This window comes from Homo sapiens, chromosome 6 (genome assembly GCF_000001405.40).
Source record: "Homo sapiens chromosome 6, GRCh38.p14 Primary Assembly".
In the NCBI taxonomy this organism is placed as follows: domain Eukaryota; kingdom Metazoa; phylum Chordata; class Mammalia; order Primates; family Hominidae; genus Homo; species Homo sapiens.
Window position 1 is genome coordinate 116,505,854 of NC_000006.12, and position 21,808 is coordinate 116,527,661.

The following is a 21,808-nucleotide window of genomic DNA, read 5'->3' on the forward strand; positions in this document are numbered from 1 at the left end:
TACAAAAACTAACTCAAGATGGATTAAAGACTTAAATGTAAAACCTAAAACCATGAAAATCCTAGAAGAAAACCTAGGCAATACCATTCAGGACATAGGCATGGGCAAAGACTTCATGACTAAAACACCAAAAGCAACGGCAACAAAAGCCAAAATAAACAAACGGGATCTAATTAAACTAAAGAGCTTCTAACACAGCAAAAGCAACTATCATCAGACTGAGCAGGCAACCTACAGAATGGGAGAAAATTTTTGCAATCTACCCATCTGGCAAAGGGTTAATATCCAGAGTCTACAAAGAACTTAAACAAATGTACAAGGAAAAAACAACCCCATCAAAAAGTGGGCAAAGGATATGAACAGACACTTGTCAAAAAAAGACATTTATGCAGCCAACAGACATGAAAAAATGCCCATCATCACTGTTCATCAGAGAAATGCAAATCAAAACCACAATGAAATACCATCTCTTGCCAGTTAGAATGGCGATCATCAAAAAGTCAGGAAACAACAGATGCTGGAGAGGATGTGGAGAAGTAGGAACACTTTTACACTGTTGGTGGGAGTGTAAATTAGTTCAACAATTTTGGAAGACAGTGTGGCAATTCCTCAATGATCTAGAACTAGAAATACCATTTGACCCAGCGATCCCATTACTGGGTATATATGCAAAGGATTATAAATCATGCTACTATAAAGACACATGCACATGTATGTTTATTATGGCACTATTCACAATAGCAAAGACTTGGAACCAACCCAAACGTCCATCAATGATAGACTGGATAAAGAAAATGTGGCACATATACACCAGGGAATACCATGCAGCCATAAAAAAGGAAGAGTTCATGTCATTTGCAGGGACATGGATGAAGCTGGAAACCGTCATTCTCAACAAGATATCATAAGGACAGAGAACCAAACACTGTACGTTCTCACTCCTAAGTGGGAGTTGAACAATGAGAACACATGGACACAGGTAGGGGAGCATCACACACCGGGACCTGTCAGGCTGGGGGGCTGGGGGAGGGATAGCTTTAGGAGAAATACCTAATGTAAATGTCGAGGTGATTGGTGCACCAAACCATCATGGCACATGTATACCTATGTAACAAACCTGCACGTTGTGCACATGTACCCTAGAACTTAAAGTATAAAAATAAATAAATAAGTAAATAAAAATAAATACTATTTTTAATGTATAGAATATTGTAAGAGGATAATTTTCTGTGGAGATAATATGGTTTGTAAAAAATTAAATCATTATTTTCAAAATCTTTTTAAAAGATATATATCCTTTAGGGGAGTAAGAAATTAAAATATTATTAATCATCAACATATCAGCTGATATTTGTCACACTGATACTAGCAAAGTATAAAACCCTGGACTAGAAGGGACCCAGGACACATTTGCCACAACAGTGTGGTGACAGTCAAAGCAGAGGATGCTAGGGGCAGATTAGACCCAAGAATACATTTTGGGAAGTGAAGGGAAAAATTTTGGAGTAGCTGGCCATTATCTGTGGTCTCAGTTACCTGTGGTCAAGATAATTTGAAAATGTTAGATAGAAAATTCTAGAAGTATATAATTCATAAGTTTAAAATTGTGCTTCTGAGCAGTGTGATGAAACCTCTCACTGTCCGTACTCCATACTGCCCAGAACGTGAATCATCCCTTTGTTCAGTGTATTACACACTGTTTATGCTATGACCTGCCCATGGGTCACTTGTTAACTGCCTCAGTTGGCAGATTTAAAAAAAACATAATATATACGGGTTTGGTACTGTCTGCAGTTTGGGGGTCTTGGTTGCAGGTATCCCCTGTGGGTCTTGGTTGCAGGTATCCCCTGTGGGTAACAGGGGACTACACTACTATCAAAGACAAGTCTCTAAGGAACAAGTGGTAGTGGTGGGAGGCGCATAAATGAATTATAAAGTAACTTCGCAAAAACATCTGCTGTTTTACAGTGCTTGAAGAATTTTACAATGTGGAAATGGAAGAAATCTTGCAGACTGTGTCTTTTAAGGCCTTAGTTTCAAAAATAAGTAAACTGGTGTTCAGAGAAGTCAAATGACACTGCCAAGACCATGCTATAACTTAATTCCTTGGCTCCTAGTCCAAGGCAATTTCTTTTCACAAAATACACAGGCCTGGACTTTGAAGTTTATTAATGAAATTTTGTCAGCTTGATATGTTGCCATCTTTCAAGTGCAGAAATTAATTAATTTTTAAAATTAAGAGCTGTGTAGGAGAGAAATGGAAGCAATTTTCTTAAATTACTTATAATCAGAAGGACTAGGAGATTCCTTATTCATTCTTCATTTATTCAACAGAAATTTCTTGAGCACTGCCAGTCTGGCACAGTACCTGGCACACAGTGGGAGTTCAATAGCCATTTGCAAGACAAATTATAGAATGGGCATCTATTGACTGAATGTTTGCCAGGTAGACAAGACTAGGGGTCTGGAGGTAAGTGACAAAGACATTCTAGGTAGTGGGAACATGTCATGAGCATAAAATACCATGATGGGGTTCAGGGAATCTCTACATCTATCAACTTGTGAGCAGTTGTGAGCCCCAAAGGTGTGAACTGGCTAATGCAGAATTCAATTTCAGTTTTAGAAGGATCCTTTTCTTGTCAGCATAGAGAATGGATTTAGGGTTATGGATGGGAGTGAGCATGAGGTCAAGGGCTGAGATACTAATCAAAAGGTTACTATTATAGTAAGCCTAGGAAAGAAATGATGAGGACTCTTCTCATTTTGACTTTCCTTCAAAACTCAAACTCTCCCTAAACTTTCCCATGTAAAATGCACATATCCCAAATCCTAAAATTTGATCTCTAACACTAGCCAGTTTAGGAAGATAAAAAATGAAAGGGGGAAAGTTGAAGGCATTTCCCCTAAGAAGTGGAACAAGACAGGGATGCCTACTTTCACCACTTCTATTCAACACAGTGCTATTAATAGAAATCCCATCCATAGCAATCAGGCAAGAGAAAGAAATAAAGGGCATCCAAATTAGAAAAGAGGAAGTCAAACTATCTCCATTTGTCAGGATAATCATATATCTAGAAAAACCTAAAGACTCCTCCAAAAGACTACTAGATTTGATAAATGAATTTAGTAAAGTCTTAGTTTACAAAACTAATGTACCCAAATCAGTAGCCCTGCTATACACCAACAACAACCAAGCTGAGAGCCAAATCAAGAACTCAATCCCTTTTATAAGAGTTGTAAAAAAAAAAAAAAAAAAAAACCCACCGATGAATATACTTAATCGAAGAGGTGGAAGATCTCTATAAGGAGAACTATAAAATGCAGCTGAAAGAAGTCATAGATGACACAAACACAGGGAAATATATGCCATGCTCCTGGATTGGAAGAATCAATATTGTGAAAATAACCATACTTCCCAAAGCAATCTACAGATTCAGTGCAATTCCTATCAAAATACCAACATAATTTTTCACAGAATTAGAAAAAACAATCCTAAAATTTATATGGAACCAAAAAAAGAGCCCCAACAGCCAAAGCAATACTAAGTAAAAAGAATAAATCTGGAGGCATCACATTACCTGACTTCAAATTATACTACAAAGGTATAGTTATCAAAACAGCATAGCACTGGTACAAAAGTAGATACATAGACCAATGGAACAGAATAGAGAACTCAGAACCAATTGATCTTTGACAAAGCATACAAAAACATAAACTGGGGAAAGGACACTGTATCCATTAAAAGGTGCTTGGAAAACAGGATAGCAACATGTACAGGAATGAAACTGGATCCCTGTCACTCACCATATACAAAAATAAACTCAAGATGGATCAAACGCTTATATCTAAGATGTGAAACCATAAAATTTCTAGAAGAAAACGTAATAAAAACTCTTCTGGACATTGGCCTAGGCAAGGAATTTATGACTAAGACCCAAAAAGCAAATGCAACAAAACCAAAAATAAATAAATGGGACCTAATTAAACTAAAAAGCTTCTGCACAGCAAAAGAAATAAACATCAGAGTAAACAGGCAACCCACAAAATGGGAGAAGATATTTGTAAACTATGCATCTGACAAAGGACTAATATCCAGTATCTATAAGGAACTCAAACAAATCAGCAAGAAGAAAACAAATAATCCCATCAAAAAGTGAGCAAATGACATCAATAGACATTTCTCAAAAGAAGATATACAAATGGACAACAAACATATGAAAAAATGCTCAACATACTAATCATTAGGGAAATGTAAACTAAAACCACAATGAGATACCACCTTATTCCAGTAATAATGGCTATTACTAAAAAGGCAATAACAATAGATATTGGTATGAATTTTGTGAAAACAGAATGCTTGTAGAATGCTGGTAGGAATGTAAATTAGTACAACCTCTATAAAAAACAGTATGGAGATTTCTTTCTTTCCTTCTATGTATTTATTTATGAGACAGGGTCTTGCTCTGTCACCCAGACTGGAATGCAGTGGCATGATTTGGCTCACCACAACCTCAGCCTCCTGGGCTCAAGCGATCCTCCCATCTCTGCCTCCTGAGTAGCTGGGACTACAGGTGCATGCCACCGAGCCTGGCTAATTTTTTTTTGGTATTTTTTTGTAGAGAGGGAGATTCACCATGTTGCCTAGGCTGGTCTCGTACTCCTTGGCTCAAGCAATCCACCTGCCTCGACCTCCCAAAATGCTAGGATTACAGACATGAACCACGGCACCTTTCTTTCATTCTTAAAGAAAGAACTTTAAGTACTAAAAGTAGATCTACTATTCAGTCCAGCAATCCCACTACTGGGTATCTATCCAAAGAAAAAGAAGTCATTATATATTAAAAAAAAACACCTGCACATGTATATTTATTGCAACACAATTCACAATTGCAAAGATATGAAACCAATCTAAGTACCCATCAACTGATGAATAGATAAAGAAACTGTGGTGTATATATACCATGGAATACTACTCAGTCATAAAAAAGAATGAAATAATGTCTTTTGCAGCAACTTGATGGAGCTAGAGGCGTTATTCCAAGCGAAGTAACTCGGAAATAGAAAACCAAAAACTGTAGTTCTCACTTATAAGTGGAAATTAAGCTATGGGTACGTAAAGGCATATGGAGTGGTATAATGGACTTTGGAGACTCAGAAAGAGGGAGAGTGGGAAGGGGGTGAGGGATAAAAAAATACATATTGGGTACACATACATATCCGGTGATGGGTGCACTAAAATCTCATATATATATGTATATATATATATATGTATATTTATATGTATATTTCATCCATGTAACCAAAACCCACTTGTGCTCCAAAAGCTATTGATATATATATATATATATAATTTTCATATGTTTTTATATATATGAAAAAAGACAGCAAATCCCTGTCTTCCAAATCTCAAGTCATAGGAAGAGAAAAACATTCATAAAATTCTAGGTTTGGAGATTTGATTTGTCGGCTGAAACCTCTTTCTGTTAATGTTGATTCCTTACACTGGAAAATTCCTAGACTATTATTTGTATGAGTGAGAATTTCTTTTCTGATTTTCAATCCAAACCACATGGAAAGAAGGTTAAAATGGAGCCCGTGCACTTTGAATTTATTCTCAGCATTTAGGCTGCAGTATCACAGCCCAATTTCCACCAGTAGGAGGCATTATCTAAACATGTTGAGAAATATTCATTCCTAAGGAATGACATTGTTTCCTTATCTGGCTCAATTCAGTCTGAGAAGGACTGTTGTTTCTGATGAAGAAAGAGCTCCACCCTCGGCCACTGCCACAGCTGCTCTGCCAATAACAAAGGCACAGCATTTTCCCTCTGTGCATCTCCAACATGGATGCTTTTCAGGGCATTTTAAAATTCTTCCTTAATCAGAAAACTGTTATTGGCTACAGCTTCATGGCTCTGCTGACCGTGGGAAGTGAGCGTCTCTTTTCTGTTGTGGCTTTTAAGTGCCCCTGCAGCACTGAGAATATGACCTATGGGCTGGTTTTCCTCTTTGCTCCTGCCTGGGTGTTACTGATCCTGGGATTCTTTCTGAACAATAGGTCGTGGAGACTCTTCACAGGCTGCTGTGTGAATCCCAGGAAAATCTTTCCCAGAGGCCACAGCTGCCGTTTCTTCTACGTCCTCGGCCAGATCACTCTGAGCTCATTGGTGGCTCCAGTGATGTGGCTTTCTGTGGCTCTGCTCAATGGAACTTTCTATGAATGTGCCATGAGCGGGACGAGAAGTTCAGGACTCCTGGAACTGATTTGCAAGGGTAAGCCCAAAGAGTGCTGGGAAGAACTTCACAAAGTATCTTGTGGCAAAACTAGCATGCTACCTACCGTCAATGAAGAACTGAAACTCTCCCTTCAGGCCCAGTCTCAGGTAAGAAAAGACAAACTCGCCTTTTTCTCTCAGCATGAGCTCGAAGTATTCTCTCTGTGCTCCTTTCAGCCAGGGCTGTCTGTGTCCTGTCAGAATATTTTGAAACTAAATGGAAACTGAAACATGATGCAGCATTGAGACTATCTCAGGAAAAGCTTTTGAAAGGCTGGGTGGCTCAATAAAGTTGCTGACTGGATTATCTCTTTTCCGGTTCTGAAAAGAAAATATCCACTGGATTGTCCACATATAAATACTTAAGTACTTTAAAACAGTCTCTCTGGGTCTGTAAATAAATAATGCCTAACACTAAATCATAAATTGAGTGTTAATGGCAGAGCTGTAATTAGAAATTACTGCCTTCTATCAATTATTTACATTCAAGTTGTTTTCTCAAACACACACATGTATTATTCATCTATTAAAATGTAGCTGAATGAAATGAGTTATTACTTTTCAAAGTTGCATGTAATATAATTAGTGTGGAGATTCTCTTGAATGATTTCTGGCAACTGCTATCTCTGTGTATAAATATTGTCAAGATTGAGAAGAATTTTCCTTGTATGGTAGGAATCAGCAGTTTTTAAATAGCCTTCTGTGAAAAAGTGACTGTACTCTCTAGGGAGATTATGTTTTATACTCTTTGTGCTGTACAGCTAAAGGGGTTCTTAATTACTTCAGAAGCTCAAGATTTGGGCATTGTTTTATTTAACAGAAGGAAATCATATCTTTACCTAATTGATGCAGGGAAGTAGCCTGTCATTCCTCCAGGCACATGAACACAAATCCAGATGTACAGCCTTAGGAAGGACTAACTTCCCATTTATAGGTAGTAAGAATTGCATTCCCAAAAGCAAAACAAGTGGTAAGAGTTGATAAGCAGATCCACAAATTGTCAGGAATGCTATCTGTTTCAGAATAAAGGCACAGAAATAGCATTATTTTACTTTTTCGACAAGGATTTGCCTTGGTAACAACAAATCAAGGCAAAATCTGTTTTTAAAATCATACACTCCAAAGCTGGTTGGCAGTAAAGTCATACTCTTCATAAATTGATAAGTCAAAAAATACTCCAAAACAAAATCTTTTCTTTAATGCATAAAGCACATCTTAGATAAAACATATCAGGCTCCCAAATGTCTTGTGTCTTTTATTGAAGAAGGGTATAACTTACAACTCTTATGACAGAATGATTGATTTATGGTGTATGTCCTCAGTCACCAGGCTCCATTCAGTCAGTGGCAGGCCCAAACACTTATCATTGTGTGAGCTTCTCCTCTCTAAACACAGGTACAAGGAAATCTTGCACATCATGTCATAGCTTAGGCTGAGCACACTGACCTGCTGATTCTTCATCAGAATGAGAAGGACCTGGGGCTGATTCCTGTGGGAAGATGCATAAGGAATGTGGGCAAGAGAACTTGTATCAATAGCAGGTGCTGACTACAGAGGTTCAGATAGGCAGGAGGCAGCATATAGTCCAGACCAACAATAGGTGTACATGTGCCTGGAGGCGGAAAAGAACATTCATCCATGGGTGGGGCAGATAAAAAATCTAGCTGGATGACTCTCTATTCTTAAGGAAGATAGAATGGAGTAGTGGAAAGAGCTCAGTCTTGGAATTGTCTGGCGTTGGGTTTGTATGCTGATGCTACCAATCACCAGCTATGTGACCTAGAACTAGTGGTTCGACCTCTTTGAGTCCCAGTTTTCTCATAGTTAGTGGTAATATCACTTACTTTGGAGAGTTGTCGGAAGATTTAGAGATGATAGATACAAATGGGCATAAAGCTTCTGGTACACAGTATTTGTTCCAAGTCAATGAGGAAAACTGCCATGGTTTGGGGGAGGACATATGCAAAATAAGACACTTTTGAGGGCTGGTATGGAAGCATCCACCAAGCTCTAGTTTGACTCTGGGTACTGTGAATTGAGGGAAAGCATCGGTCAATGCAAACGTCATGTGAAAGGGGGAAGGGGACCTGAAGCTGATGGAATAGTTTATAATTCAGCTGGAACTGGCTCAGGTACTGAGATGAGATGGCGTACAGAAGCCTCAGCTGTGGAAAAAGAGGAAGACAGACGATGAAGGAAGGAGGAACATATAAGGTAGCCAACCACAATCCATTCAGGGACTTTCACTTGATGGTAGTTGTGCCTCACTCATTAATTATAAGTACAGAAAGATATTATGAGTTCAGTAACACATTTACATAAGTGTATATATATTTGAAGAATAGCAGCATATAATATTAGCTAAAACTTAATGAATACATGTGTCCAGTATCATTTCATTAGGTCCATCAAATTACCCTTCAAGGTGAGTAACCCTCGTTTCACAAGTGAAGAAACTGAGATAAAAAGAATACGCATAGTAAGGGGAAAGTTTAGATTTAAACCTGAGTAGTGCCAGTCCAGAGTTGGCATTGGTGCAGAGGTTGAGACCCTTCACAAACACTCTATATCTGAGTCAAAGGTTGGGAACCACTGATTTAAAGCTTATTTGTGGTTTTGTTATGGTCTGAATGGGTTCATTTGTAGATTATTATTTCTATTTTCAAATAGGCTCATCTGCTAAAGAATATTAAGGATCATTTAAACTAAATGTCAAGAGACACTTTGAAAAAGATGTTAGTTTTCCAAACATAAAATTAATTTCAATTGTGAAAACAGAGTTAGAGCCAAAAAAGTTAGAAGATAATTTAAGCTATTTAAACTTCTGCTTTTAAGATCCAGGGGAGAAAAGCTGAACCATTTCATATTCAGGAAAGAGTTTGTTTTTTCTAATTACCAAAAATCAAGACAAATCATTTTCAAGGTTTTAATGATCCTAATTTTTTCTCAGCCTTTAAATTCTTATAGCTTCAGCTTCCTGATTGTATCGTCTGTCTCCCTTTTCCATGGACAGTAAGTAATGACAGAAAAAAATTAGTCTCTAGCCATGTATATACATTTATCAATGCCTAAAAATGCCTGGCTGAAGAGCTGGTCATTTACTCAAATGACCACATTTACTTATGCACAGAATATTTTCCTATCAGAGCTAATACTATTTGAGCTTGATTTCTGTAAGTCTTATGTAATCTATACTTTGTACTCTTTTCTATCTGCCTGCCTTCTGGTTATTTCTTTGCACCAGCAATGTTGGGGAGGAGAATAGAGATTAGGTAAACCCTAACTTTATTTTGAGTTTACCTAATAAATTCAAAAAGTGAGTTTAAAGTGTTTAAAAATTAAGATGAATGATTTCAAATGAGGTATGTCAAAGACTGTGGTAATAATTTAGCTATACACTTCTCAATAATACCCCAGCTCCCTAAATGGCTTTGCTTTCACGTGTGTACTCAATATTTCTTTCTTCTTAAGATTCTAGGATGGTGCCTGATTTGTTCAGCGTCTTTCTTCTCTCTGCTCACCACATGTTATGCTCGCTGCCGATCTAAAGTTAGCTACCTTCAGCTGAGTTTTTGGAAGACATATGCACAAAAGGAGAAGGAGCAGTTGGAAAATACATTTCTGGACTATGCCAACAAGCTGAGCGAGAGGAACCTGAAATGTTTTTTTGAAAACAAGAGGCCAGATCCTTTTCCCATGCCTACGTTTGCTGCCTGGGAGGCTGCTTCAGAGCTGCATTCTTTCCACCAAAGCCAGCAACACTATAGCACCCTCCACAGAGTGGTGGACAATGGTCTGCAACTTAGCCCTGAGGATGATGAGACGACAATGGTCCTTGTGGGTACTGCCCACAATATGTAGCTCATCCACCATCAATGACTCATGGTGTTGAGTGGCATGCTCATTCTGTGATCCTCCTAACGTATCACCAGCAACCTGTGTGTCTCTGTATTTTCTTACATTTGGAGTATGTTTACAAGACAATAACACAAAGGAAACTGCTTTGAAGCTCTCAAGTGGAACATCAGGATGTGCTCAAATTGATGCTGAGGGGTGACAAAGGTGCTCTTGCATTGGTGGAGAGGGGCTCAGTAGGCCTAAATGTTGCTCCAAGATCTAAGATTTTATCATTCAACAGACAGACTCATGTGAGAGGGCTCATCAGTCTCTGTAAATATTGGTTGCAGAATTTAGGGGCAGAAGCAATGGCTTGTGAGTGAGCAAGTTACTCTTAACATAGGTTGCCCTACACAGTGGCTCCTGCAGTGTGATCAGCAGGAGTCTCTGTCCTACAAATCTACACTTTTAAGGATGTATGAAATTGTGGAATTCATTCCCTCAGGATCTGAAGATCTCAGTTCTCAAAAATCACAAGTTGCAAGAATATGATACCTAAAATTGAAAGTTTTTCACATGTTTTCACTGTATACTGAAAATACTCCCCTGGAAGCAGGGCTGCATCATAATTTTTGTGGGCTTTATGTACTTTTGCCTTTGCGAACCATTTCCTACATTCAAAATAGTAGTAACAAATATATATATATATATATATATATATATATATATATATATATATATATACACACACACAGAAATATATATTTATAACTGCATTGATAAAAGGTGAATATATTAGCATTTTCTTCAACCTAAAAGTTTATGTATTTTCTTCTGATTTTAAAAGAAATTAAAAACATTTTAGTGGGCCCTTACAAGTATTATGGTCCTTAGGCACAGTGCTTACTAGGCCGTGGGTATGTCTTAGTGCGTTTGGGCTACTATAACAAAATATCATAGATAGGTGGCTTATACAAAATAGAAATTTATTTCTCACAGTTCTGGAGGCTGGGAAGTCCGAGGTCAGGCTGCCAGCATGCTCAGGTTCTGGTGAGAGCAATTTTCCAGGTTGCAAACTGCTTGCTGACTTCTCAGTGTCCTTCCATGGTGGAAAGTGCAAATAAGCTCCCTTGAGCATTTTTATAAGGCACTAATCCCATTCCTGGAGGCTCCACCTTCATGACCCAATTACTTCTCAAGGCTCTGCTTCTTAGTACTATCAGCTTGGGGGTTAAGATTTCAACATATGAAATTGGGGGAGACACAAACATTCAGACTATAGTAGGGTAAATTGACCTTGGCTAAAGGTCTGGGGACACTGTCCAAAGCAGTACTGGCATAAAACTGCATTGCAGTCTTACATTTATCAGAAATAATGCAAATCTTGCATTCTACAATGTACTATATCCATGTTAGTATGTACATATATATGTGTATGTATATATGTACATAAATTCTCCTTAAATCTCTGAGAAGAATTGTGCTTTAAAAAAGAACTATGTTTTGTGCTGTGGCTCATACCTTACAGTGGTAGTCTATGTCTCTTAGTTTGAGAAAGCTGAATATTAACTTCTTATTAACATGAAACATGATGGCAAACTGAATCCTACAAGTATAGGACCCAGAACATATCTATGTTATTGTCATTTACAAGAAGAAATATGTATTTGGTCTTTCTTCCTATTCCTGGTGCAGAGCTCCTAAAACCTTTGGGACCTCCCAAGTGATGTGTCTGGTAGTACGCGAATGAGATGACTGATAGTTAGGGGCTTCTGAATGGCCTCAGAATAGGGTCTGGTTGCCACGGGAACCAACCATGTGTTTAGAGGGTTGGAACTTTCAGCCCCACTCCCAGACCTTGGGGAAGGAAGAGGGGCTGAAGGTTGAGTCGATCACAAATGGATAATGATTTAATCAATCATGCCTAAGAATAAAGCTTCCCATAAAAATCTAAAGGACAAGGTTCAGAGAGCTTCTGCATTGCTCAATACATGAGGAGTGGTGAGCCCAAAGGGGCCGTGGAAGCTCCGTGCCCCTTCCCCCAAACCTGTTCCTGTGCCTCCATCTGGCTGTTTCTGAGTTATATTATTTTATAATAGACTGATGATAGTAAATAAAGCCCTTTCCTGAGTTCTGTGAGCTACTCTAGCAAATGGTGAAATCTGAGAAGGAAATCATGGGAACCTCTGCTTTGTAGCCACGTCAGATAGAAGATGTGAGTAACTTTGGAACCTACTGCTTGTGACTGGTGTCTGAAGTTGGGGGAGATCTTATGGGACTGAGCTCTTAACCTGCTGGGGATCTGCACTTAATGCCGATTAATGCCAGAATTGAATTGTATGATATCCAGTTGGTATTGGAGAATTGGCCAGTGTGGGAGAAAACCCACACAGTTGGTGGCAAGGAGTGTTCAGTGTTGAGTGTGAATGTCAATAAAAAAAGGTTTGTTTTTTCTACGTACAATATCTTTGGGAACTTGGAGGTGCAGGGTCAGACGTCTGTGTGTGTATGTGGCAGGGACAGAACAGGGATTAGGGATGTGAGGGGGTAGAGTTTTCAGAATAAAGGGAGAGAAAATTCAGCAAAGAGTTCTCCTTCTTAATCTTTCTTGACTTAAAGTTTGTCTGCCCTTAAGTGTCTTCTGAGCTGGAAAAAGACATATAGGAACTGGCCGATGCCGATGCCTCTTTTGCAGTGTGTGAGAGGCTGAAACAGAAGTTCTACAGAAGTAGGTTAGCTGTAAGGAGCTGAGGATTGAGGAGTCATATCTGGGGGATATTCCTGCCACCCTCAAGTCCAGGGACTTTCTGCACTCAAAAAACTTACGCTCATGACAATGACTGCCTCATTCAAGAAAACCCAAGCTGACTGGCAAGAAGCCAGCAGCCTGGGTACTTGTTGCTGCAGCTTAGTAAGTAGCAGAAGAGCTCATCCTCCTCCTCTGGAAGAAGCCACTTAACAGGTTCTCATCCTGACTCCTAAATTCCTTAACAGTCCTTTACTCAGGAATAAAACAAGTCCAAGAAAACTTATCTGTCCCACAAATAGTCCTGGAGGCAGTGGAGTAAGATAGGGAGAGCAAATTGGTGTCTGCTCTTGAGTATCTTGAGGGAATGGGTATCTAGAGGCAGCAGGATGAACTGGCTTTGATAGCAGAGACTTTAAAATGTGTGGACCATTAGTTGTCTTTGGATGTGCTCCCTAGAGGCTGCGCCTGACACAGGGAGCTGTGTATACATGATTTATTAAAAGGAAATCCTCTTAGGAGAAACATATTAGCAGGATAAACACAAGAAAGAATGCAGTTACAAGTGGAGTCTCAATCAATCCCAGAGGAAATTCTGGGACTTCAGCCTCAGCTTGACCTATGGGGGGGCTCTGGAATGTCAGATTTCTCCTGATCCCAAGTGTGCTCTGGGGCTTCCATTGCAGCCAAGAGAGAGCATTCCCCAGAAAACTCCAGGTGAGGAGTCTCCAGTGGCCCAAGGGTGATCCTCCAGAGGAGGTTACACTGCCGAACTGGGACATTGGCACCCTGGATTTGAATATCTAGAGAGGGCACCCAATGGTCATACTAATGTTTGCCATAACAGTCTCTTCTAGGTCTAGACTTGAAGCATATGGAAGGGTCCTTGGGCTAGAGCCAACCCAAGCCCAGGCTGACTCCCTTTTAATACTTCTAATTTTCCCTGAAGATCTGGTCTTCTCCCTACCACCACTACCCTATTACATAAGAGAAAAGGATTGGAGAATGCTCTTGAAAAGAATGTGATGCTTTCCCATACAAGGAATATACTCAAGGAAAAATTTCATGGCACAAAATGCTGATTCTGTCCAATTTATCCCATGAATAAATTGTGTACACATATATATATGATTCTTTTGTTTTTCCTGTGCAGTTCCTTCCTTTTTTCAGGCTCAACCACTTAATTCAGCTTTAGGATACATTCAGCTTATTCATATCAAATATAAAGTGGGAGAAAAAAAGGTATGTAACAAAGATTACAAAAATAAGGCATGGCAGACAAATCACTACATAATTCTATGCATTATACCTTAAAGTAATGTATTGTAAAATATATGTGTCCAAAGCAACTTTTAAAATTTTTGTATGGTTTTCTACTTGAGACCTTTAAAGCATCACTAAAAATGTATACATTTAATGAGAAAACGATGACATTATTGATTCAAATTAGTTGTTTCAAAGCCTGATGATCCACTGATTTACTCTAAAAACTGGTTAAAGCAATCCAGAAGTCACTGGGTAGCAGAAAACTGCTACCGCTTCTCACATGATATATTTCAAGTACTTCAACTATTAACTATATTATTCTATTTAGACTTTGGTGGTTCCGAATTCTCTAAGGTAATTATCTTAATTTTCTAATATTTCCCTCTCATTTTTCTCTCTTATTTTAAATATCCCCTGTTGTACAAGCCAGAGGATATTAATTTCCTTTGTGGGTAGTGCTTGGACTTCTCTGATTTTAGATCCCAAAATCATTAAGAAAAAGCTAAGAGGTTGGCATGAGAGGTTGGATGGAAAGCATCTATCTGTGTTTGTCAGTAGCTCTCGATGTTGGCTGCAAATTGGAATCACCTGGGGGCCTTTGACAATCACAATGTCTGGACCCATTTCCTGAGAACCTGATGTAACTTTTCTGGGTTAGGGCCTGAACATTGAGATTTCTTTTAAAAGCTTTCTAAGTGATTATAATGTGCAGTCATGGTGAAGAACTACTGATTTTATATGGGGAGTCAGTGAAGGTGGTGAGGGGCTGTGAGGTTGAAATATTGGAAATGTTATCTGGATTTCAAACAGTAGAGTATGATAAAAATTTAAAAACTGGCTCTCCAGGAAAAAAGAGACATCCTAATATGATGTATTTGCCAATATACCATGGGTTTTCTTGGGCTGGGATGAACTTTCAGAAGTTTTACAGTGAGCATTTTTTTTTTTATGAATTTAAATTGGTTCTAGCTAAGCAATTTTGGAGTATCTTTGATGTACCTGGGTCTCTCATTTTAATAAACATAACAGTGGTATGTTAGTCAGGGTTCTCCAGAGAAACAGAACCAACAGTACAACAGTATATATACATACATACATATATATGTGTGTGCATGTGTGTGTGTGTATGCGTGTATATATATATATGCTACATATATGAAAGGGGATTTCTTGTGGGAATATATATTATATATAACAAAACATGACAAATATATAACAAAATATATGTGCTATATATATTGTGTGTGTATATATATATGAAAGAGGATTTATTGTGGAAATTGGCTCATGTGATTATGAAGGCTGAGAAGGCCCATGACGTGCCACCTGTAAGCTGGAGAATCAGGGAAATGTGTAGGGTGGCTCAAGTCCCAGTCTGAGGGCCTGAGAACCAGGGGAGTTGATGGTACAAATCCCAGAGCCAAAGGCAAAGGAACCTGAAGTTTTTATTTCCAAGGGCCAATAGATAAGGAGAATATTGGTGACCCAACTCCAGGAGACAGAGAAAAGATTGGTGACCCAACTCGAGTGGAGAGAGAGGGAGAGAGAGAGAGACAGAGAGCAAATTTGCCCATCCTCTCCCTTTTTGTCCTACCCAGGCCCTCAATGGATTGTATGGTGCCTGCCCAGGTTAGGTGAGGGCAGATTTTCCTTACTCAGTCCACTGATTCAAATGCCAATCTTTTTTGGAAACACCCCTACATACATACCCAGAAATAATGCTTTAATAACTATCTGGCTACCCCTTAATCCAATCAAGTTGACATCTAAAATTAACCAGCACATGTGATAAATTAAATATGGTTCAATGGCTCCTTCTGGCAGATGTAGTCGTGTTATCCTCACTTTGAATCTGACCTTATGAACCAATAAAATATGGCAGACATGAGGTAGATTGTTAAGCAGTATCACAGTTTATGCCTTGGTCTCTTACAATGTTGCAATGCTCAACAGTCTGGTAAAAGCCACTATGTAAGAACTGCAATTACTCAGGGACTACCAAGCTCTGAAGAGGCCCAAGCTAGCCAGTGGGAGGAGAGAGAGAGAGATAAAAAGAGAGAGAGAGAGAGATCCCAATGGCTCCAATTGTCTCAGATATTCTAGCTTAGGGGTCAGGCATGTGAATGAAGGAGCCATTTTAAACATTCAGGCCCCAGTGTACACGACATGGAGAAGAACCAGGAAGTCCAACCAACAGTGAGAATAAAAGGCCCCAGATCTATGGCCCTAATCAAATCATTGCAGCCATCTCCAAACATTTGACCCACTCCAGTGGAGGCTGCAGGCTTTGTAGAGAAGTCCTTGCCATGTCCTATCCAACTCCATGACCCCAAAAATCATGAGCTTAAATAAATGTTTGTGGCTTTAAGCCACTGAATTTTGGGGCAATATGAAGCGACAGAACCTGAACACTAACATGAAAATCAGAATTTATAAAAAGACAAAAATTACAGGCAAATTGTATTTATACATTTATACATTCTCCCTATGCATAGAGAGCATTTTCTTCAATCATGTTTTCTTTTTCTTTAGGTTCCAGTTAGCAGTATAGCATCTACAGCATGATTTGATAGATGCTGATAAGTAGGTCTCTAAAATCTCTCCACCAAAGCTGGAGATTCACTTTCAATTATTTTTGGTTAATTTTTGTTTGAAAGGAATACAAACATATTATTGGGAGGAGTAACACATTAAACTATTATTTGTCATTAATATCTACGAAAAAATAGCAAGTGAGGGTTTCAGACTAGGCTGGCCTTCAGTAAGCTGGAAAGAGATTGTTCTTCTAGTCGTCTCTCAAAATGTTATCTTCAGACTGTCAACATCAGTATCACGATGAAGCTTGTTAGAAATGCAGAATCAGACAGTATCTAAAACCTGTTGAGTCAAGCCTGCAGTTTAACGTGATCCTAGCTGATTCCAGTTCAAGCTAAATTTGATAACACTAAGGCAGTGGTTCTCAAACTTTAGTCCATATAAAAATCATCTGGAGGGCTTATTAAAATGTGGATTGCTGAACTCCACCCCCAGGGTGTCTGATTCAGTAGGTCTGGGGTGAGGCAAGATAATCTGCATTTCTAACAGGTTCTCAGGTGATACTGATGCTGCTGGTCTAGGGACTACATCTTGAAAATAACTGCTCTACAGCACAGAGCAGGCTATTCTGGGGAAGGCAGGCTGTAAGAAACTCAGAATCCTGGCCTGCACTCCAGATCTACTGAATCGGTCATCAGCCCGTCCAAGATTTTGGGGTGCCTTTCCATTCATTCAAGGATACCTTTCTATTCATTCAAGGATATATTTTGTCCTTTAGGAATATTTTAAAGTTTACTTCACATAAGTTTTACATGTTTCTTGTAAACTCTATTTGTAGGTGTTTTCTTTGTTCCTGTTGTAAATGGTTTCTTTTTTCCACTATATCTTTCTAAGTGATTGTTGTCTGAGTACGTGAAAAGCTATTGTCTTATGCTTATTAATTTTATCTCTCTACTAATTCTTTTATTGTTTGTAGGGCTTTTCAGAATTTGAAAGTAAACATTTTGCAACCTTTGATGACAAAATGGATCTAGACAATAAATAATGAATTCTAAACTATTAGGTGAAAGCAGAATGGGGTCAGACCTATGCAATTTGAAGCCACTCATCTATATTAGCATCACTAAAAATCAAAGCAGATGCTACGTGCCTTATGATGCAAGGCAAGAATAAGTACATAGTATCACATGTGAAATATTGTTTCCTAAGAAGCTAAACCTAATCAAGTATTTAGACATTACTGCTAGTTTATAGGAAACATAAGCAACAAAAAACAAGGCAATTAGCACCACAAAAAAACAACCAGGTACATCTAGATCTAACAGAACATTCCATTTTACAGATGACTCAGTCTCCCCACAGATTAACAGTATTAAGAAAGGAGAATAAAGGAGATATAAGTGACTTAATAACCAGATATGCTATATAGACCTTATTTGTATCCTGTTTCCAACAACCAACTGTAACAAGATATCTTTGAGATATTTAGGAAAATATGAATGAATATTAGATGATTTTTAGAGAATTATTAATTTTGCTATGTGTGGTAATGGTGTGCCGATTTATGTTTTTTAAAAAGTTCTTCAGTTAGAGATGTATATTTAAATATTTATGTGTGAACTGCCATGATGTCTAGAAGTTTCTTTAAAATACTCTAGAAAAAAGAGTTTAGGGAGAAAGCTGAAAGATGAAATAAGATTGGCAAAATATGGAAACTATTGAAGCTGGATGGTAGGTACACGGAATTCATTACATTATTCTCTTTACATTTGTATATGTTTGAAAAATTTCATAAGGTACACAACAAAATAAATGACATGGTCACCTCAGTTATTTTGCTGAAGTTTTGTCAATCACCCCCTGCTTAGCTGGAGTTTACCTTCTAGTATCATTCTCAGCAAAGGCTCACAGGAATGCTATTCTCTGAATTCTTACATATTCAGCCTGTTGGCCTGTTCTCGAATTGAAGGACAGCTTGTCTGGTTCATACTTTCTCTACATGAGTGTATTGTAAGCATTACTTCATTGTCTTTTGTCATTGAATATTGCTGAGGTGGCCACAGCCTGATTTCTGATGCCATCTCTATTTCTTTCTTTATTACTAACAAGATGTTTTATCCTATATTCTCATTGGTTTCTTTATCTTTCATGTCCAAAAATGTTAAATAGGCCTTCAGGTAGGTCTTTTTGGAACGATTTTTCCTGCTACAAGTTTACTCTTTCATTGTGGAGAATCATTTTCTTATATTTCAATAAAAAAGTTGGAAAATTTTCAACTTATTTTCCTTTCTGTGCTATATCATTTTCAAGAAACTATATTGTTTTGAATTTAAAACTAAACCACTCCTATATTCCTATTGGAATTTCATTAATTTAATTTAAAAAACTAAGTTAACTTGAAGTCTTGGCTCTTGTTTCATCTAAGTTTCACAAGCATACTGGGAGGCAGGTATTACCTTTTCTATGTTTATAAATAATGCTAGAGTCCAAAAAGGCTAAGGTGGTTATGCCACTGTTAAGTTATTGAACATCAATTTGGACCTACATGTGTCTAATCCTAATTTCCATCACACAAATTCTGCCTCATTTTAGTATATTCTTGAGTGTTCATATAACTTTTCAAAGTATGTTCCCTCATTTGTAAAATGAGGATGTTGAATTAGTACATCTCAAAGTCTCAACTCTGTTGTCCTAAATCTTACAGCCAGTGGTGTGTGAATTCCCAGCCAGTTGTATTCTTAATATCCTCTTGGGAATAGAGGTCTATCTCCAAGTTTCCTGGCCTCTGTCTGGGCCCCTGGATTCTTTCCCATCCTGAACAGCTTTTCACCTTGGGTTTCTAAATATTTAGGATAGTTATGCTCAAACTATGCTCCTACTGTATCAATGAAGTAAACTTTCCATTTTATTTTTTTAAAAATTTCCTTAGATAAAAATGACAATTGATATAGAAGGAATTTTTAGCAGTGGAAAGTTTATAAAAGATTTCAAATAGTCCCCAAACTTTAATTTTTATATATTTTAGAGTCCACCTTTCTGTCTGGCCAGCTATCTTTTTATAATTTTGGGTTTCCTGTACCTACAGCCACAACAATGCCAGAGAGAAATCTTCACAAGTTTTAAATTGCAATGAAAACTTGAGATTAAAATGGGAAAATGAATTAATTACTTCACCTAATCACATTCACTGGGCCATTTCAAGAAATAGGATTAAGTCAGCAAAGTAAGAACTCATGATATTAAGTAACTTTGCTTAAGAACAGTACCTTAAGATATATGCATTATTCGGCAGTTTATAACCTATAAAATGGTGACTAGTTGCATTGTAAAAACATTCTGTGCCTATATTTTATCATAAAGAGATGTGCTTCTGCAATCATAATAATTGCTGATGGTTTCAACAGAACACAATTATTTCTCCCAGGGGTTTTGTTGGTATTTGTGTCACGGAGGAAACATGAGGGATAGTAATCAGTGTTTTTAAAAGGGTTACTTCCTTAAACAGTTGGCTAACTATGAGTGGGTTTCACCGACCCTATGCATGAAGTCAAGCAATTAAAGAAATATATGCTTACAAACTGATCCATTTCCACCTTATTTTGAGAAATGTCCTCAAAAACACAGCCTCCTTCCCTACCTCTTTCCCTATAGACAAGTTTGTTGTCCCAACTAAAGGTGAGATGGACTTTGTTTCAATCAAAACTGTTCCACTTTGATCATATCTCTCTAGTGTTTTCCACTTTTTTTCCAAATGGATTTTTATTTTATTTGAAGCATGTAAAAGACATAAAAAGAGAGGTAACTAGGAGAAGAATTTGGATGGAGGGTCTGGAGGCGTGGCAGCCTTAACCTGCAGCCTCACTTCTATAGGAATCACCCTAGAGTTCCACAGAACAAAGTTAGGAAACTCTTGTTCTAAACAGTGGAGGCCAATTAGGATCACTTGGAGAGCATTTAAAAAGTTCTAATGCCTGTGCCTTATTCCCAGAGACCACAATTTATTGGGTCAAAAGTAAGTTCTGAAAGTCAGGATTTTTTGGAAAGCTCCAGGTGAGTCTATGCAGGAGCTAGAATTGATAACCCTTGCCCGGGAGTACCACTGAGAGGTCACGGCAAGTCTGAACAAAATCTTACTTCTGACACAAACTAAACATTACACCAGGCAGGGATGGCCTGGGATTTGGTGTTCCTGATGTGTCTCTGAATCCTTAGACCCAGACAGATCTTGCTTTAGAGTTTTGTTTCCCAGGGTATTTACTCCATGGTTTTTTTTCTTAATAAAGAATTTTATTGTAAATAGTTACATTAATAAATAGCAAAGCTATTGCTATTTTCAGTCCACTTAGGTTTGTTTTAAAGGACTTAAGAATGTGCCACTCCAAAATATTGCCACTTTGACATACATATTCATTATTTTGAGTTATAGGCACTTGAAAAGCAGCAGTCACAAGATTGCTCTGACCTTCCTGCTGTTTCTTAAAGGCAGGAGAAGAAATTCCCATGTGAAGGATATCCTCCCTGTACTAGAAAGAAAGCAACACTCTTAACATCAAGGAGGGACAATTGAGGCTGAGAGGATTCTGTACAGATTTTATTAAAATAATTCTTGTCTTCTTGCCTCCCCAAATAATTTAGTTGCCTTTTCACAAATTACTATTCTTTGTCCAATTCAGTAGGTAAGTGTTCAACTCCTTGGGTCTCCATTTCTTTATTAAAGATTCCCGGCCCGGCGCGGTGGCTCACGCCTGTAATCCCAGCACTTTGGGGGGCCGAGACGGACGAATCACGAGGTCAGGAGATCGAGACCATCCTGGCTAACACGCTGAAACCCCGTCTCTACTAAAAATACAAAAAATTAGCCAGGCTTGGTGGCGGGCGCCTGGTCCCAGCTACTCGGGAGGCTGAGGCAGGAGAATGGCGTGAACCGGGGAGGCGGAGCTTGCAGTGAGCCGACATCGAGCCACTGCACTCAAGTCTGGGCGACAGAGCGAGACTCCGTCTCAAAACAAAAAAAAAAAAAAAAAAAAGATTCCCATGCTATGTGTTAAGTAAATGTGTATGCTTTTTTTCTGTTGATCTGTCTCATGTCAATTTAATTCTCAGGACAACTTTAAAAAAAAATCCTAAGAGGATAGAGGTGAAGTTTTGC

The 21,808-nt window shown here is 38.3% G+C and overlaps 2 protein-coding genes across 2 annotated transcripts in view, besides 2 other annotated features; one reads left to right on the forward strand and one right to left on the reverse strand.

Annotated features, from left to right (window-relative positions):
- TRAPPC3L (trafficking protein particle complex subunit 3L) overlaps window positions 1–21,808 on the reverse strand; it is a 50,696-nt gene that overhangs the window by 10,865 nt on the left and 18,023 nt on the right. The gene's annotated exons all lie outside the window — the stretch shown is intronic.
- Window positions 5,497–6,078: an enhancer, noted in NCBI's record as "OCT4-H3K27ac hESC enhancer chr6:116832513-116833094 (GRCh37/hg19 assembly coordinates)". NCBI's record gives its function as "activates a minimal SCP1, AML or CMV promoter by ChIP-STARR-seq in primed H9 embryonic stem cells {active_cell/tissue: H9 hESC(primed)}" and the evidence as "EXISTENCE:reporter gene assay evidence [ECO:0000049][PMID:30033119]".
- CALHM5 (calcium homeostasis modulator family member 5) lies at window positions 5,786–18,935 on the forward strand. The gene is made up of 2 exons (NM_153711.5): window positions 5,786–6,383; window positions 9,747–18,935. Exons 1-2 carry the CDS (start codon window positions 5,844–5,846, stop codon window positions 10,134–10,136), a joined length of 930 nt encoding a protein of 309 aa, NP_714922.1. The 5' UTR covers window positions 5,786–5,843; the 3' UTR covers window positions 10,137–18,935.
- Window positions 20,979–21,179: a silencer, noted in NCBI's record as "peak6051 fragment used in MPRA reporter construct". NCBI's record gives its function as "represses an SCP1 promoter by STARR-seq MPRAs in K562 erythroleukemia cells {active_cell/tissue: K562}" and the evidence as "EXISTENCE:reporter gene assay evidence [ECO:0000049][PMID:32103011]".